Here is a 20,710-nt window from a genome sequence, read left to right as displayed (position 1 = left end):
CTATTGTTCCTGGTTGAATATGCAGAGACATGTAAAATCCCTGAACTGTGCTAGCAATTTCCAAACCACAAACACACATTAATGGTAAAGAGTAAAAATCTAACTGGCTATAGAGATTTACATGTAACATTTGACAAATTAGTGGCTATACTGACCAGGGTGGCCAGGCTTAAAGAAAAAACAAGGGGGAATATGTGAGCAATGATATCAGAATCTTTTCCCTGTAAGGGAAACATACAGCATAGAACTATTTCAGTCAAGCAACTAAGCAAATTTTTAAACGACCAGATAAGAAATACAACTCCAGGAATTATCAGTATCCAGGGTTGGTAAAATAGATTATCTGAAATGTTCAGTTTTCAACAATATAATGCGACATACCAAGAAATAGGAAAGTGTGACTTATAAATAAGGAAAAAATTGGCTATAGAATATGTCTTTAAAGTGTCCCTGATAGTGGGCTTAGTAGACAAAAACTTCAAAGCAGCAATTACAAATACTTTCAAAGAACAGAAAGAAATCAAGCTTAAATAACTAAAGGAAGGTATGATGACAATATTTTATCAAGTATAGAATACCAATAAGGAGATAGATACTATTAAAAAAATAACCAAATTAAAATTCTATAGTTTAAAAGTAAAATAACTAAAATGAAAAATTCATTAGCAGAGTAGAAATGAGCTAGCAGAAGAAAAGAATAGTGAATTTGAAGACAGATCAATAGAGATCAGGCAATCTGGAACAGAGAGAATAAAGGATAAATAAAAATTAACAGAGTCTCAGAGAAATGTAGGACACCATTAAACACACCAACGTACATTTCATGGGACTAGCAATGGAGAAGAAAGCAAGGGACAAAATAAATAAGCAAGGAAATAAAAGTTGAAGATTTATTAAATTTGATGAAATATCTTCACGTACAGAGCCAAGAACCTCAGCAAACTCCAAGCACAATAAGTACAAAGAGAAAAACACCCAGACATATCACAGTCAAAATGCTTAAAGACAAGGAGAAAATCTTGAAAGGTGCAAGAGTAAAAGGAATCATTACATCAAGCTGGCAGCTTATCAGAAAGAAGGGCCCAGAAGGTAGTGGGATGACATATTCAAAAAGCTAAAAGTAAAAACAGTGAAAAATAAATTTATATCTAGCAAGACTATCTTTCAAAAATGAGGGTAAGATAAGACATTCCCAGGGAAACAAAAATTGAGAGAATTTGTTGCCAGTAAACTGCCTTAAAATAAATAGTAAAGGAACTTCTTCAGGTTGAAAGCAAGTGACAATAGACAGTAATTCAAAGCTACAAGAAAAACAAAGAATGCCCATAAAGGTAATTATGTAGCTAATTGAAAAATATAGCATAATTGCATGCTCTTGTCTCTTCTTCTTTTGACTGATTCAAAAAGCAATTGCATAATACAACAATTTGGCATGTAACACAAAGAAATGTCATGTATTTGACAATCAACGTTCAAAGGAACTGGGTGAAAACAAAGTTATATTGGAGTAAGCAAATGATACCAAGTGTTATCTTACACCACTAGACGGAATAAAAAGAAACAGCAAGGGTAAATAAGAATGTTAATATAACAAGCTCTATACATATATATTTGCTTCTATTTCTTTAGTTCTTTAAAAAATTAAGATAATATAAAGTAATAATTATAACAATGTATTGTTCAGTTTGTAAGCTTTATAGAAGTAGTATGTATGACAGTAATAGCACAAAATATAAGGAGGGAATGTAGCTATATAGGAATAAAGTTTCTATATTTTATGGGTATAAAATCAGTATAAATCTAAATTAGACTTTCATAAGTTAAGACATACATTGTAAGTCCTAGAAGAACCACTAATAAATATTTCAAAATATAATTTAAAATTTACTAAAAATTAAACTGCTACATTAAACATAAGCTGCTTAGTATAAAAAAAAGTAGAAAAAGAAAAAAGACATGTGACACATAGAAAACAAAAGGCAAAATGGCAGATATAATTCTAAACATATCAATAATATTAAATGCATGTGGGTTATACAATCTCACCAAAACCCAAGAACTTTTAAATTGGATTTTAAAGACTGTGATCCAATAATGCTTTGTCTGGAAGAGACATAGTTTGAAAGTAATAGGATGGAAGAAGATATATCACACAACTATAAATGAAAGGAAAGCAGGAGTAGCTATTTGATGCTTTTAAAAATATAAAAAAAAAAATGACAAAATTTTAGCTGAACTAACCAAGAATAAAAAACAAAGAGAAGTCTGAAATTACTAAAATCAAGAATGAAAAAGGAATGTTACTATTGTTGTATTGAAATAAAAAGATTATAAGGGAATGCTATTACAAACAACTATAAACCAACAAGATGAGTTGCATGAAACGAATTAATTTCTTGGAAGACACAAAGTACTGACTCTTACTCTAGAATAAATAGAAATTCCAGATAGGTCTATAATAAGCAAAAAATTGAATTGATCATTTTAAAACTTCCTGAAAGAAAAGCCAAGTACCATATGTTTTCCCTGGTGAAATCTATCAAACATTCAAAGAAAAACTACTATAAATACTTCACAAATTCTTTTAACAAATAGAAGAGCTGGAAACAGTTTCCAACTCATCCTATGAGGGCAATATTACTCTGATACTAAAACTAGAAGAAAAAAACTACAGCCTAGTATCGCTGATGAATATATTTGCAAAAATACTCATCAAAATACTAACAAACCAAATCCAATAACATATTAAAAGGATTATACAACATGAACAAGTAGGATTTATCCTAGGAACACAGGTTGATTTAACATCCAAAATTAATTAATGTAATAAGCCATTTTGACAGAATAAAAGACAAAATATTATACAGTTATTTCGAAAACATTTGATGTACTACAACTACATTTCATGATAAAACACTCATTTTTACCTAGTAAAGACCATCTACAAAAAATCCACAGTTAACCTCATACTTAATAGCGAAAGAATGAATATTTTCACCCTAAGATCAAGAACCAGACACAGATGTTCAACCTCATCACCTTGATTTAACATTGTATTGGAGTTTCCAGCCCAGGCATCTAGGCAAGAAGAGGGAATAAAAGGCATCTAAATTGGAAAGAAGGAGGTAAAACTATCTCTATTTGCAGATCATGTTATTTTATATACAGAAAATTGTAAGGATTACACTAAAAACCTGTGAAGGCTGAAAAATAAAAGATCAATTTCTAAAAATCAATTATTTCTATAGGTTAACAATGAAAATTATGCATTTGAAACTAAGAAAACATTTCCAACCATAATGACATAAAAAAAGAACAAAATATTTAAGTATAACAAAAGGGTGTATAAGATTTGTGCCCTAGAAAATACAGAACATTGCTTAAAGATATTAAAAAAAACCTTAAATAAATGGAAAGACGTCTCATGTTTATGGATTGAAAGATTAATAATGTTAAGATGGCCAATACTTCCTAAATTGGTGGAAATATTCAATGTAATCCCTGTCAAAATTCTTGCTGGCTTTTTAGAAGAAATTGACAAATTGAAGTTAAAATTCATGAGGAAATGCAAGAGACCCAGAATAGTCAAACGATCTTGGCTCATACTTCCTGATTTCAACCCTTACTGCAAAGCTACAGTAATCAAGACAGTGTGGTACTGGCATAATTACAAACATATGGTCAATTTATTTTTGACAAATGTACCAAGAAAATTAAATAGTGAAAAAATAGTCATTTCAACAAACACTGCTGGGGAAACTGAATGACCACATTCAAAGGAATAAAGTTGGAACCTTACCTCAAATCATATGCAAAACAAAAAACAAATAAACACAAAGAAACAAACAAACAAAAACATAAAAACTCAGAATGGATCATAGACTTAAATATAAGGGATTAAGCTATAAATTCCTGGGAAAAAATTTAGGAGTAAATCCTAATGATCATTGGTTAGGAAACTTTCTTAGATACTACACTGAAAACATAAGCAGGAAAAAAAACAAAATAAACCATATTATTTTAAAACTTTTGTGCTTCAAATTATATCCTCAAGGGAAAAAAAACCACAGAATGAGAGAACATATGTCTGATAAATAACTTGTATCCAGATATTTAAATGAATTTTACCATTCAATAAAGAAGACAGTAACTCAATGTTAAAATGGTCATAGGATTTGAATAGGTATTTTCTCTGAGAAGATATACATGTGACCAATAAGCATATGAAAAGTTGTTCTACATCATTAGTGAAAATCAAATCAAAACCACAATAAGATGCTATTAACCCTTACTGGATGGCTATAATAAAAAAGATGACAACAGCAACTTTAGCAAAGATATGGAGAAATTGGAACACTTACATGCTGCTGGTGGGAATGTAAGATGGTGCAATCACTATGAAAAACAGTCTGGCAGTTTCTCAAAAGTTAAACATAGTGTTATCATATGACCCACAATTCCATTCCAATGTATATATGCAAATGAAATGAAAATATATATCCATACAAAACCTTGTTTATGATTATTCATAACAATACTATTCATAGTGGCCCAAGAGTGGAAATAACCCAAATGTCTATCAACTGATGAATGTGTGTCAATACAATCTGGCATATCCATACAAGGGAATATTATTTGGCAATAAAAAGAAATGAAGTATTAATTCATGCTATGGCACAATTGCTCTTAAAAACATTATGCTAAGTTAAAGAATCTAATCACAAAAGAACATATTTGTATTAAATGGCCAGAATAATGAAATATATTAGTAAGTTGCTTAGGGTTGGTATAGAATAGGGATTGACTGCTAATGGGAACAAGGTTTTTTTTTTTTTAGGAGGTTGAAATGTTCTAAAATTTAATTGTGCTGATGGCCGCACAGCAGTGAGTAGACTGAAAAATATTAGATGGTATACTCTAAATGAATAAGTTGTATGGCACGTGAATTATTTTCAGTAAAGCTGTTTGAAAACAAAAACAACAAAAACAAATGATTCACAATATCTGGGACTTTCAAAAGCTGAGGAGCATATGGCAAAAGCTGGTACAAATTAGGCTTCTGGGGTCACAAGTTACAGAAAAAGAAAAAAAAAAAAAACAGAACAAGTTTACCTTAGAAATATGCTGAAGGTGATTCTCCAGTTCAAATAAATGAGAGGACTAGGGGAATTCTTTCCTGTGCCACAGATTTCAAAAATTTCTAAGCTTACCCTTATTAAATGACTGAATTAAAGCATAGGACTAAAATGCTTGCTCACAAGGAAGTGTGAAAGCACAGAGCTCAAAAAATAAATGGAATTAAGAGGGATTAAATTAAATTTAGAGGTGAGATAGGGAGGGAGTAAAACAGCATATGGTGACTGGAGCTGCTACCAGTGTAAATTTCTAGACTTTGCAAGAAGGCAGCAGTAGCTCAAATGGCAGCATGAAAAGACAGTTTGAGTAGGTGGCTTCCCCCTAAAATGATAGGTGCTTATGGAAAAATATTAACCCCTTAATGAGAACTTTCACTCAATTGTGTTTCACACAAGTGTTTAACTGTGCACTGCAACTGACTGCCTGACAGCTCACTATGACTAAAATAAAGATTTTCCCCATTTCCTCTTCCTTCAGATGCTATTGAGTTTCTGCTATGGTCTATGGCAGAGGTTAACTCTGGCTGGACATTAAAATACCCTGGGCCAAGATGTCCCTAAATAGGTGAATGGATAAATAAACTGTGGTTCATCCAGACACTGGAATATTATTCAGTAATAAGAAGAAATGGGCCGGGCACGATGGCTCACGCCTGTAATCCCAGCACTTTGGGAGGCCGAGGTGGGCGGATCACAAGGTCAGGAGATCGAGACCATCCTGGCTAACATTGTGAAACCCCATCTCTACTAAAAATACAAAAAATTAGCCGGGCATGGTGGCGGGCACCTGTAGTCCCAGCTACTCGGGAGGCTGAGGCAGGAGAATGGCGTGAACCCGGGAGGCGGAGCTTGCAGTGAGCCGAGATCGCGCCATTGCACTCCAGCCTGGGCAACAGAGCGAGACTCCGTCTCAAAAAAAAAAAAAAAAAGAAGAAATGAGCTTTCAAGCCATGAAAAGACATGAAGACACCTGAGATACATACTGCTAAGTGAAAGAAGCCAACCTGAAAAGGCTACATACAGAATGATTTCAACTAGGTAATTCATCTGGAAAAGGCAAAACTGTGAAGACAGAACAAAAGAAAACGTCAGTAGTTGCCAGCCAGGGGTTCCAGTGGAGGGAAAAAAGAATGAATTGTTGGAGCATAGGGGAATTTAAGGCCAGTGAAACTATTTTGTATCGTAAGTAATGGTGGATATATGTCATATATTTGTTAAGCCCCATGGAATGTACAACACAGAGTGAATGTGTCACCTATAGACTTTAGTTAATAATTATTCATCAAAATTGTGTCATCAATGTAGCAAAGTTACCACACTGGTGCAATATGGGAACTCCCTGTACTTTCCACTCAACTGCCTGTAAACTTAGAACTGCCTTTTTTAAGGCTACTAAAAAATAATTAAAAAAACCTTGAGAGATTTAAAAATTACATCTTTACAAATTCCTCATTCAAAGATGCTGATTTAACTGTTATTGGGTAAGATACTAGTATTTTTTAAGAGTATATAAGACAATTATAGTACACATTTAGGAATGAGAACTACTGGTTAATGACAATACTAAGTATGTTATTGTAACAAAATTTTATGAAGAAATGTCTAGGTATTGGGGTTTGGCTGGTTATCTGAATTAGTCAGAAATGGTCCAGGGCTATGAAACTATGATATATTTTATTAATTATTTGATTTTTTATGGCATGAATTTTTTTTTTTTTTTATGAGATGGAGTCTCACTCTGTCACCCAGGCTGGAGTGCAGTGGCATAATCTCAGCTCACTGCAACCTCTGCCTCCCAGGTTCAAATGATTTTCTTGCCTCAGTCTTCTGACTAGCTGGGATTACAGGCGCACGCCCCCATGCGCAGCTAATTTTCTAATTTTTAGTAGAGACAAGATTTCCCCATGTTGGCCAGGCTAGTCTTGAACTCCTAATCTCAGGTGATCCATCTGCCTCAGCCTCCCAAAGCGCTGGGATTACAGGCATGAGCCTCTGTACCCCGCCAGAAATCTTTGATTTCTTTTTTTAATGAGATACATGAGAGACTGTGGCTAAATTCAACTTTATTAGTGCTATGGCATTCATAGCTTTTATAACAGGTGAAACATACTATAGCTTCAAGTATCAAGACTTCTTGCAGAGATGAAATGGAATAAGAAATTGAGAAGAACTTTAAATTCTTTAGGCTTCAAATTATTTTACTTAAATAAAATATTTATATCTTAAATGTAAAATTTCTTTGAACATTTTTAAATCTTTCCATGAAATTCATAATGGAAGGGGATTAATATCAAATATGGAGTATATTTTTGCTGTTATTTTATCATTGGTATATCATAAAGTTATTTAATCTTATTGCAGAAAACTTGATGAGATATAATGAAATACAGGTTGACATAATTTTAGCTGGGAAATAGTAAAGGGTATATAATTTGGACTGAGAAAACCTTAGAGTTAGTTGTTTTTTTTTTTTTTTTTTTTTGATGGGCTGTGAAGCTTTTTGTGGGATATTCCTTATGAGTTAGAGGATCACAGATAATCCAGGGAGAAGTCATTGGTATTTTGATTGGAGCCTCTTGGGTTTGGAAGCAAACTAGTCCTGACAAAAATGCTAACATCTTACCTGAGAGGGACAATCATAACCCAAGATGACCTTACATAAGTTGTTCAAATCCAATAGGTAAGAGTGCAAAAGGCTTGAAAGATTGGTGATGGCTACTTCTTTCTCTAGTAAGTCTTCCCGAGAGAGGATATTCTCATGACAGCCTGCACAATGGAAACACTTGGGAAGTTTTCCAAAGTCCTGATGTCCAGGTGACAAGTAGAGTAGTTACATAAGAATATCTTGGAGGAGACCTAGTGTCAAAAAGAGAGGCAACACTTATTATTTGATGATTTGGAAGAACACACTGCATATGTATAGATCACCTATTTCTTTCTTCTCTCACTTTGAAATTGGCCTGACTGCAGAGAGATGCATTATCTTTGCCTTTATACTGTGATTTTTACTGGGCTTGTGATGGGGTAGGTAAATCTGACAAATCTGGGGTGAATTATTAGCAGTATGCCCTTCTCCAACTTAGCTTTTATCTCCAATTAAAGCTGACAGCTTGATCTCTGTCATACTTCCAAATATATCTCTCAATTTGTTCCAAAATAAGGACCTAATTTACTAGCCCATTATGTCTGTGAAGCACTTATGAACCAGAGAAATTTCAAGGAACCCAGTTGCTGGAAATACATCTGGTGTCTAATAAGGTTCTATTCTCCTGTTCTCTCTCAGTCTTTCTCTGGGGCTGGAGGCTGCATGTTCAGCTTTATTCTCTTTTTCTCCAGATACGTCTGTCTTTAAGTCCCTTGATGACTCATGGTGAATCTAGGTTTCTATGACACTAGTTCTAACAGCAGTTGAACAATACCTTATAATTCCAAGAACCAATGCCAGCAAGTCGTGTCCCTGAATCTCAAAATATAAATTTCCAAGAGAGAAAATAAGATTATCTTATCTTGAAATATATGCTCATTTCTCTTCTCATCAACTGTGCTAGCTGGAAAGTCACAAGTTGCACAGAAGGCTGCCCACTCCTTCATCAGTCTGGGTCTGAGGATGCTTCCCAGAAAGGTGTTGGCTGGAAGGGTATCCCACAATATAGCTACTGAATCACCAGCTCTGTTCTGTTTTTATATTTATTCCAAGTCTCCTATGTAACTTTCAAAAAGTTCTTGAAAACTTTTATCCCTTAATTGTAAAAACTACCAAAACTGCCATTGTGAGAATGAGACAATTAGATGCACAATTTAGAGAACTTTAGAAAAAGTTGAATTTATGATATTTTTAGGTAGTTCAAATGTATTTCTCAAACTGCAGGTTAAATAAGAGTTATTGTTTAAACTTCAGAAGTTGTTACTATTAGTTAAGGATAAAATGATTATTGGAGATTATCTTACCTGGGGAAAGAGAATGATCACAATCACTTTACTTCTAATGTTTCTTTTTTAGGCTTTAATTATACCTCTACAACATTTTTAAAAAGAACTTCTTCAAAGTGTTTAAACCCTATTATTGAATGTTTAATTTTACTTAAAAATAGTCTCAACTGAATTTTACCTCACTAGTGAACTATCTAAAAATTGATTTTTGCTTTTCAAGAAAAGTGTTGAAATGTAGCTTGTTAAGGAAATACTGTTTCATTTTTAAAAATATGTTCTCTTGTACTTTCGTTGTTTAGATTCCTTTCATTTAGTTTTACTTTAATGTTGTAGGATTTGAAATTTCCTAGGGAGATGAAAGCGTCCATTTTGATTTTCCCTGCTATTAACCAATTATTCATTGGAGGCAGCACTATTTTTAAATTGCAGTAGCATTAGTCAGAGTTTTTAGAAGACCTGTATTTGATTCCATCTTTCTAACTAATGAATTGTATGACCTTGGGCTGGTGACAATATTTCTGAACTTCAGTTTTCTCATCTTTAAAAGAACAGAGTTAGAATATATTTTCTTTAATTCCTCTTCTAGCTCTGATGTATTATTCCATGAATGGCTCCAAAGAGCAGAATTCTTGGCTCATGGTTATTATGGTAAACTATTACAAGTCCATAGAATTACATTCATAGATTTCTATGAAACATCATCAGAGGTTCACTGCTTGTGCCCCAAGAACTTAACAGAGGATCCTAAAAGGTGCCGATATTTCTTGATTTGTTCATGTACATTAGCATTTTCTCCTGATCCAAATGGGCAATCAGTTTTCCTGAGGAATTAAGGTGTCATGATGGCAAGGTAGGGAGTGATGTGGACCAAGAAACAGAGAATATGTGATTTAAAACTTATGTAATAGTAAGGTCTTTTCTGGGGAACCTGAAAAGTTTTACAAAATTTAGGAAATCTTTATGCATGAGGTTCATTCCATGTTTTATTTATTGGTCTTATTATCACTTATACTTGCTCTGTGTAATGGGGATACAACAGAAGAAGGGCCCACGAGACAGGGCTGGACTAAGCTGGTAGAATGTCATTCCCATTGTGTCCTATTGATCAAAGTAAGCCACAAGACCAAGCCTTGTGAGGAAATAGGCTCTGTCTTTTGATGGGAGATTGTGCAAAGTGTTAAAATCATTTTTGAAATCTATCACATCCTCAGTCTCTGATAAAATTGACAAATAATTTTTGCAGAGTTTCCACAAGCATTCAGTAAAACAGAGTGCTTGTTTCAGTACCTGGTATAGAATGTCCACTCAGTAGGTGAAATCTCTTTATCAGCTACATAGTTATTATTAGAATATCATATCTGGGTTTTGGTCATCAGAATTACTAAATCTTGTTACTTCTACTCCTATCTTAAAAAAAATGCATCCTTTCTTTTCTACTTCTGCTACTACTGCCTCAATTGTGACCCTCCTCACTTCTTACCATGATTATTGAAATAAATAGATTCCCAGCTGGTCTCCTTGAGTAATAAACAATTGATTACCTGTCTCTATGGGGGAACCATAAACTCCATGAGGGCAGGGACCCTGACTTTATTGCTTATTGCGCATTTTCCTTTCCTGCACATTTCTTATAGTAAATGCTAATAAATATTTGTTGAATGTATCAATAGATAAAACTGCATGTAAAGAAAATTTTATAACATGCAAATCTTGTTATTCTACTTCTTTACATTCTGCCAGTGACTCCCCATAGTGCCCAAGATGAAATTTAAGCTTCTCAGCTTAACCTACAAGGCTGTCAATGATCGGACACCTTCCTTGTTAACTTCCTCTCTCACTCTTCGTATACATGTAGCCTGTATTCCAGTAGTTGCCTGAAACTATCATTCAGAAATGGTATCCTCTTCCCAAGAATGGCCTGAGCTCCCTTCTTCATGTGGCTTAACTCCTATATGTTTTAGGACTTTGGCAAAAAATTTCCTCCTCTGCAACACTCACTTTGATTTTTCTGAATTTGGCCAGACGTTACTCCTCTTGTCTCTTAGCACTCTATGCATAACTTTGTCACAACAATTTTCAGCCTTCCAAAGTAGGTGCCTCATCCTCCACATGACCAGCAAGCACCGGCATGTAGTAGAAGCTTTGTAATTTGTATGTGAATGAAGGCAGCATAACAGGAGTGGAAAAAGGTAGCTTTAAAAATTCATTGCCAGAGCCAGGTGCGGTGGATCATGCCTGTAATCCCAGCACTTTGGGAGGCCATGGTGGGTGGATAATTTGAGGCCAGGAGTTTGAGAACAGTCTGGCCAACACGGTGAAAACCCGTCTCTACAAAAAACACAAAATTTAGCTGGGCATGGTGGCGGGTGCCTGTAATCCCAGCTACTTGGGAGGCTGAGGCAGGATAATCGCTTGAACCCTGGGAGGCAGAGGTTGCAGTGGGCTGAGATTGCACCACTGCACACCAGCCTGGGTGACAGAGAGAGACTCTGTCTCAAAAAAAAAAAAATATTGCCAGAAGTTTGATGGAGTAACACCCCGTTCAAGCACTTAAGCCCAGGTATGTTTATTTCTTCCATGATTAAATTCTAGCTAGGGTGTTCTTCCACTAAATAGACTAAATTGCATTTCTTTGTTCTTAAAATAATTCTCAGTAGTGAGCTTCGTGTTATTCTATCCCCAAATGACTATTGTCCTAACCTTTATTTGCATTGAAGCTTGACTTCATTTCTCTTTGATTGCTTTTGTTGATTGAGCAAGTGGCTTATATTTTATTTCTGAAAAATCTCAAAAGATTCAGACTAGTCCAAGTAAAGCCGTGTTTGTAAAATGCTGAACTATTCATTGGCAGTGACTAAATTATTTTGGCATCTTGAGCACAGAGCTAGTCTCAGCTTCTTCAACAATAATAATGATATTGTGCTAGTATAATTGCTTTCAGGAAAGAAGAGAAATCCAGCATCAATTTGACAAGACTAATGTTTAAGTGCATCCTGCTGCATCTGCCTTTGAGTAGAAAGAGAAAAATGATAGTTAGACAAAGCACCACGTGAATCCTGTGCCTGCCATTGGTGCATAAGTTAAAGTAGCCCCAGGCAACTTGTTTAGTTACTCTTCTTTGATTTACTATCGTTCTTATAATAGAATATGAATGCATTCTAAACAATTTTAGGTCACCTAGTGCCTTTCATTATTTCCCAACTATAGCCCAGTTATTTAAATTTTTAAATATTTAAAGGAAGTGACAAGGCATAATTTAGTAAAGAAAAATACAGCAGAACATCACAAGCTATAATCTGAATAACCACAATTTCCTCTTTCTTAAGAATAAACTGGAGTAACCCTTCCATAAATATATTTGATAATTTCAGAGGATGGGTGGATTTCTCTTTGGAAAAAAAATGTATCCTTTACTTTTCATTGTAATGTTGCCTAAGGTTGAGCATGTGCCTTCATTATGTATCAATTAATTCCTTTCCTGACGGCACTAAATAATAAATGACACACTTACAATACAATACAAAGAGTGAATTGGAGTTTGCTTTATGAAAGCCAACATCCCCTTTATCCTGCTAAGAAGACTGAAGCCAAGGGAACGCAGGTGACTAGGACAAGGTTATTTAGCTGTCCAATAGAAAAAACTAAACCAGGGACTAAGACTTCAGTCTCTTTCCTTTATGTTCTTTCTCCTGAGCCTCTAATTTTCATATTATTTTGTTTCTTAGTCTTTTCCTTCTGAATACTTATATGTAACAAATTGTTTCAAAGGTAGCTATTCAGCAGGTTCTCAAATAACATTGTTTCATTGAAGATTGTTTGGTGGCAATGTTGAGAAAAAAACCTATTCCAGCTGGAGCCAAGGTTTGTATGGAATTTGCTAGCTTCTCCCCATATCTGTGTGGGTTTTCTCTGGGTACCCCTGTTTCCTCCCACAACCCTAGGATGTACACATCAGTGAATTGGAGTGTCTAAGTGGTCCCGGTCTGAGTTCTTGTGGGTGTGCCTGTGAGTGCACCCTGCAATGGGATGGCATCCGATCGGGCAGGGGGCAGGGAGGTTGTTCCTCGCCTGCTCCCTAAACTTTGGGGATACGCTGTGGCCATCCTCAACTCTGAAATGGAATAGTTAAGAAAATAATTATCTTACCTGTTTTCATGAATCTTTCTTAAATGTTTGCATTTACTTTTATTTCAGTGTTTACTATTAGAAGTGTTTGGGGTATTTATTTTGAAGTTAGATGATTCTTTTGTGACCAGAAATATGCCATAGAAACTTAACTCTGTTTTGTATCAATTAGCCTATGTAAAATTGATTTCGATATATGTCGTTTTGCTTAAAGTCACAATTTCCAAGAAACAATTGAGGACATTGAGGAAGGACTTATTGTACATTTTAAAAGGAGTGAGATTTTTAACTTAAAGAAATTGGTTTTGAGAAGGATTTGTTTATGGATGCAAGAGAATTATTATCCTGTACAAATCATAAAGCTCTCTTTTTTATATAAGATTTTACATTAACAAAAAAGAAATTAATATTTAATTACAATTGCTATGAAGATTGCAAATCTTATCCAGGATTTTTTGGGATACATGCTACATGTATATATTCAAGGTAAAATATATCATTTACGTTTAATTCAAATTAAATTTAATTTTTACTGGATGTTCTAGGAATTGCTTGTGTATATTCTAAAACATTGTCTGGACCTGTATACATATTTCTTGTTGTACTCAGTCTTTAATATAAATCTACCTGCAGAAACACGGGTATATTTATGAGCAGTCCAACTTTTTATTTCAGGTTAGATAAGTACTCATGCACCCAAGATGCAAATATGTCTGGATAATATTGAAAAAATGGCTGGGTTCCTTTAAAGTAAATCCTTTGTACATATGTCAAGGTACCATAACATATATGTATTCCATGTAGTTTGCTGTTTTGTAAATATATGAAAATAATTTGTAAGGATTTTTTCAAACTTATGGTCTGTATGAGCAAGAATACAGTTATTCCTGTACATGCCAAGATAAAAATGGCATATATATATATGTTTATTTATTTTAAAATATCATTTATTTAATATTGCCTAATTTTCCTTCACTTTATTATATGTATCTATCTCTTGTAAGATTTGATTGTCAAAGAGTGGTTTCTCACTTTTAAAGCATTTCATAGATCTTTCAAATTAGACTTTTCTAACAACACTGTGGACTATCCGCAGTGGCTCATGCCTTTAATCCCAGCACTTAGGGAGGCAAAGGTGGGAGGATGACTTGAGCCCAGGAGGTCGAGCGAGGCTGCAGTGCACCATAAGCATGCTCTGTGCTCCAACATGGGTGATAGAGTGAGACTTTGTCTCAAAAAAAAATTTTTTTTTTTAATTTTTAAAAATTAGCCAGGCACAGTGGCTCACGCCTGTAATCCTAGCACTTTGGGAGGCCGAGGTGGGTGGATTGCCTGAACTGAGGAGTTGGAGACCAGCCTGGGCAACATGGCTAAACCCTGTCACTAGTAAAAATACAAGCAATTATCTGGGTGTGGTGGTGTGCGCCTGTAATCCCAGCTGCTCAGGAGACTGAGGCAGGAGAATCACTTGAACCCCAGAGGTGGAGGTTGTAGTGAGCCAATATTGCACCACTTCACTCCAGCCTGGGTGAAAGAGCGAAACTCCATCTAAAAAATAATAATAATAATAAAATAATAACACTACTAGTAAAAGATTATATAGTTTTTATTAAGAAGAAATATAAATTCAGAAATTTTTTTTGTACATGTGTTTTCCCAGCTAGTTTTCTTGTCAAAATAGGCAGGACTAGATCTCAGATTTCTTGAGTTCTTATTTTACTACAGGTCATATTAAAACCTTATCTCTTTCTCTAGTGACAACAGAGGCCTGAATTTGGATTAATTCTAATAACTACACACTCTAAAGTTAACAGGTTATTAAGAATAAAATGATTACTGACACTTCGAGTTTATTTTGCAGTGTGTGTGTGTGTGCTGGTTTGGGAAATGAGGATGGCAGTGGGGATGGTGAGAATGATGAGAATGTTTATGAAAATATTTTGTGAAATTGACATTAGACTGACTTTGGGTGAAAAGGAGAGAGATAAACCAAGAAAGGAAGTGTGAACAAATGGCAAAAGAAAACACTGAGGAAGAATCCCCCTTAAAAAAATCTCTTAATCTGTCAAATATGCTTTTGGTTGCAAGTCACCAGCTCAATCTGGCTTAAGCAAAAAGAACTATCGCAAGGACAAAAAACCAAACACCGAATGTTCTCACTCATAGATGGGAACTGAACAATGAGAACACATGGACACAGGAAGGGGAACATCACACACCGGGGACTGTTGTGGGGTAGGGGTAGGGGGAAGGGATAACATTAGGTGATATACCTAATGCTAAATGACGAATTATACATATGTAACAAACCTGCACGTTGTGCACATGTACCCTAAAACTTAAAGTATAATAATAATAATAAAATTCTTTTTTTTTTTTTTTTTTTTGAGACGGAGTCTCGCTGTTTCGCCCAGGCTGGAGTGTAGTGGCGCTGTCTTGGCTCACTGCAAGCTCCGCCTCCCGGGTTCACGCCATTCTCCTGCCTCAGCCTCCCGAGTAGCTGGGACTGCAGGCGCCCACTACCACGCCCGGCTAATTTTTTTTGTATTTTTAGTAGAGACGGGGTTTCACCGTGTTAGCCAGGATGGTCTCGATCTCCTGACCTCGTGATCCGCCCGCCTCGGCCTCCCAAAGTGCTGGGATTACAGGCGTGAGCCACCGCGCCCGGCCAATAATAAAATTCTTATTTAAAAACATCATAGAGTAGATTAGTTTCAGGCCAGCTAAACCCATGATTTTGACACTTCTGATTCCAAAATTTTTTTCTCTTCATCTCTCAGCTCTTTTATCTGTGATATTTTACAAGCTTGTAATTTAGGAGTCAGATCTGTATAAGGAGTACAGATTTAGGAGTCATCACCAGGTAACTGTTAATTGTTTTCTTGGGAAAAGATGAAATCATTCATGAGAGGGTCCAAGAGAGAAGAGAAGAGGACCTTGAAGAGAATCCCAAAAAACACCAGCGTTTAGGAGGAAGAGAAGCCTAACTAGAACAGAAAGAACTACCGGAAAAGGAAGAGTACAAGGAGCACAGAGGCCATAGGGAAAGCTGAGCGTGCCATAGATACGCACTGTCTGGCTATTTGACTTATAGCAATTTCCTCATTTCCAGGAATAGTCTCTGTACTCAGGAATGGCCATTTGGACCATAGGATGCTGACTTCTGGCCACAGCTGCATGTTTTACGTGGCTCCAATTGAGTCAGGCTGGCCCCATCAGATTCCCATTTCTTTTTTGTTGTTGCTGTTGTTTGTTTATTTATTTATTTTGAGGCAGAGTCTTGCCCTGTAGCCCAGGCTGGAGTGCAGTGGCACAATCTCAGCTCACTGCAAGCTCCGCCTCCCGGGTTCATGCCATTCTCCTGCCTCAGCCTCCTGAGTAGCTGGGACCACAGGCGCCCACCACCACGCCGGGCTAATTTTTTGTATTTTTGGTAGAGACGGGGTTTCACCATGTTAGCCAGGATGCTCTTGATCTCCTGACCTCGTGATCCACCCACCTCGGTTTCCCAGAGTGCTGCAATTACACGCCTGAGCCACCACTCCTGGCCCAGATTCCCATTTCTAAGACATTAAAATTTAGAACAGAGAGACACAGAAACCATATATGACAGGCTTAGTTAAAACAAAGAAAACATGCTAAATAGAAATAAAATCATGGACAATTCAGAAAGTAAAGACAATTAGAGTCATAACAGCAGAAGAGAAAGACAGTATCTGTTCGGGAGTGGTAAGGAGGAGAATGGAATGCTTTTGCTTTACTTTGCATTGATTTAAAGTCTTAATGATTTGAGTATCTATTAATGTATTTGCCTCCCCATTCTTGTAAGATGAACTGTCTTCCTAATTCACAGAGAAAATGAAATTCACAAAGCAGAAAATTCCTCAATTCCTTGCCACCAACAAGAGTACTTTTCCTTCTTTGCATTGTTTCACAATGGAAAAAAAAAAGGAACTCTCTGGTAAATTTCTCCACCGTAATGTTATAAATAGATTCCAACAATTAAATAACCTAATATGTGGGGTTACTTTATTGCAAAACTAGTGAGATGCAGTCTGAGTCTTCAGCTACTGATACTGAATTCTAGGGGTCTGTCTGCAAGGTCCCAATCCATCTTGTTCTTGCTGCAGTTTGTCACCGTCTAGTAGTGGCTCTTCACCCTGGTGTAAATATGTTTGAAAATGATTCTAGGACCTAAAACTGGCTGTGACTTCTAGGACAGCACTTGTAATTCCAAGGCTGCTCCTAGTTAGTTTGCCCTTCACCTACTGGGACTAGTAAATACTAATAACACAAAAATATTTTCCACTGTCTGCGGTTTTCTTGCCTGTTTACAACCCCCTTCTATTGTATTCCCTTCCTCCCAGAAAATGAAAGCTTTAATCTGTTCCAGTTTGAGAATGGGAGCTGGAATGGAAGCCAGGGGCTGATTGCCCTGTGTGTTACACTATATGTCAAATTTCTCCTATCTTCTCAAACGTGTTCCTTAGGATTACCATATCCTCAATGCATATTTAGCACACTGCTGAGTACATTGTAGGATGTCAATTCAATTTTGTAAATTACGTGAATGGATGGATACATAAATGAATAGATGGATAATCCGTACAAATTGGAAGAGGCCATTATCCCGAGTACAAGAGGACAGATAACTTTTAGGGAAGAGGAACTTCTTTTTCTATTGAAACATGCCTATTCTTCAGGGAAGGAAACAATATGCCTTGGCATGGATTGTAATATATGTCACATACCACAAAGAAAAAAGAACATCAGATAATAGGTATTTAGTGTTCTTTTTTAAAAAATATATTTTTTGAGCAATTTTAGGTTCACAGTAATAATGAAGAGGAGGTACAGAAATTCCCCATCTGTTCTTGCCCACACACAGGCAAAAATCTCCCCTACCATCAAAATCTCCCACCAGTGTGGTTTAATTGTTATAGTTGAGGAACATACATTGTTAAGGTTCCTTTAAATTTTCAGAATGGTGTCCTGGGTGAATAAAGAATTATAATAATTGGGAATATGTTTAAATGTTTACTTCCAATTTTCATTTCCATGTGAATTAATTGAAGCAGTTTGATACAATTTTCTTATTTTGGAACAACCAGCATTATTAAAGTAAGTTATCATGGATTGAACAGCTGCAAGTTTTAAATTGAGCATGACTATTAAAGCAATGTATCTTAGGCTTAAAAACACAGTGCTTTATTTACATCGCTATTATTTAAAATGGGGCTCTGTTTGCTCAAAACCTTTGGGTTTTTTTTAAGTGTTAGTCTTTGACTTCTGCTTCTTTCTTTCTTAAAACCAGCAGAGAACAATTCCTATTTTCTGATTCTTTTGGAAACCCAGAAGCAACTCTCTAGAATAGGCATTTTATTATATGTCTGATAGATTACCTAGTTCACCCCAGTTTTTTTCATGCTGTCTGCTTTTATCCCCTGTTATTATTAAAACATCCTGGAACCCTATTTCTGTTTGATACATTCTTTTTAATGAATGGGGAAAAAAAAAGAAAAACTCCTTGAAATGTGTTTTCAGATTGTCAAGGGTTGGAGATACTTTGATATTTAGGGAAATTGATGAAAAGAAGTTTAGCTTTGTTATGTTAATTGTACTCGGCCTCTATATTTATATATCAAGACAAAGTTATCCTAGGTAATATTGTTTTGTTTACCTTTATCTTTCTTAGAGGAAAAAGATGGAGATAAGGAAAGAAGCTTGCAATTTTAAAAAATTTAATAATATTGGAGCCTCTCTAGAGGCTCAAGTGATCCTCCCACCTTTGCCTCCCTAAGTGCTGGGATTAAAGGCATGAGCCACTGCAGCTGGTCCACAGTGTTGTTAGGAAAGTCTAATCTGCAAGATCTTTGAAATACTTTAAAAATGAGTAACTGCTCTTTGACAATAAGATCTTAAAAGAGGTAGATATATATGATAAATGGAAGGAAATTAGGCAATATTAAATGAATGTTATTAAGTTTTAATATTAAGTTTTAATGTGATTTAATATTTAATATGATTTGTGGGGATTTTCTTATTGTTCTAAAATTAGATTAGGCTACTATGATGACATCTAGTGCTATTTATCAGTATTTCTGGTTCTCCTTTTTCTGGATACAAGGAAGAATTGCATCTTTCAGCTTTTTTGAAGATAGGCATGGCCGTGTCACTTTCTTTGGCAAACAAAGTGTGAGCAGAAATGGCATGTATCACCTTTGAGCGGAAGTCTTTGAGGAACAAAACATAATTTGTCATGTTCTTTTCTTCCTGTAGTGGCAAACCACAATATTTCAGGAAGTGGAATCTCTAGCAGCCTACAACCCTAAAAGAGGTTAAAGTACAGAAAAACTGCCGGCTGACCCAAGATGAATGTGCAGCATGAGTGAAAAATAAGCCTTTGCTTTAAATTACTCTGATTAGGGCCTCATGTAAAAATTAGTCGATTTTCACATACACAGGAATTTGAACAAGGAAGTAGAGATCTTCCATAAAAACTAAAAAGTAATATATGATATTCACTTATGAGCTGGTGGCTAGATAAAAGGCAATATATTTTATATGGTAACTGTGATAGCTAATACTGAGTGTCAACTTGATTGGATTGAAGGATGCAAAGTATTGATCCTGGGTGTGTCTGTGAGGGTATTGCCAAAGGAGATTAACGTTTGAGTCAGTGGGCTGGGAAAGACAAGTCTACCCTTAATCTGGGTGGGCACCATCTAATCAGCTGCTAGAATGACTAGAATATAAAGCAGGCAGAAAAATGTGAAAAGATTAGATAGGCTTAGCCTCCCAGCCTACATCTTTTACTGTGCTGGATACATTCTGCCCTCGAACATCATAATCCAAGTTCTTCAGTTTTGGGACTCAGACTAGCTCTCTTTGCTCCTCAGCTTGCAGATGACCTATTGTGAGAACATATGATTGTGTGAGTTAATACTGAATAAATTCCCCTTTGTATATGTATCTATCCTATTAGTTCTATTTCTCTAGAGAACCCTGACTAATACAGATTTTGGTACCAGGAGTGGTTCTAGAGGAATAGAATATTAAGGATGGAGTTCCTTTGTTGATTTTGGGTTTTCTGGAGTTGGCTGCTAAATATGATTAGACCCCAAAAATGCTAAGGACTCTACTTCTAATATTATGGAGAACACTGATAGTTCTTGGCATTAACTGTTTAGAGAGTTATGCAATATAAATGCATTTAACACTCCTGATTCACTGCTCATGAGAGGCAAGGAGTTTAGGGACTCTATATGTAATACCTTTGATCATATGTGGAGAACCAAGGACTATAATGAAGCTGGTTGGTTGCTCCTGAGTTCAGTGGACAAAGTGATGAAAGGAAACGATGAACTCAGGGATTCTAACTCCTGACCTTAGAAGCAAATACTGAGCCTCAAATCTATTAAGACTGCCCTGAGTGAGAGTCTCATCTCCTGTAGAGAAAGAGCTGAAATTGTGGGAAAACAGACACATGCTCTTATCATGCGAGTGGCTGACCTGCAACA

At 35.7% G+C, this 20,710-nt stretch overlaps 1 long non-coding RNA gene across 1 annotated transcript in view; it reads right to left on the bottom strand.

Annotated features, from left to right (window-relative positions):
• LINC02426 (long intergenic non-protein coding RNA 2426) overlaps positions 1–8,520 on the bottom strand; it is a 39,415-nt gene extending 30,895 nt beyond the window's left edge. Inside the window, exons 1-2 of the long non-coding RNA NR_110089.1 lie at positions 8,084–8,520; positions 7,759–7,991 (exon numbers count right to left, since the gene is read on the bottom strand). This is a non-coding gene — a long non-coding RNA (long intergenic non-protein coding RNA 2426). The remainder of the gene's footprint in view (positions 1–7,758; positions 7,992–8,083) is intronic.
• Positions 8,521–20,710: the final 12,190 nt, after the last annotated feature.

This window comes from Homo sapiens, chromosome 12, assembly GCF_000001405.40.
Source record: "Homo sapiens chromosome 12, GRCh38.p14 Primary Assembly".
Lineage (NCBI taxonomy): Eukaryota > Metazoa > Chordata > Mammalia > Primates > Hominidae > Homo > Homo sapiens.
This window is presented reverse-complemented; position numbering and strand designations above follow the sequence as displayed.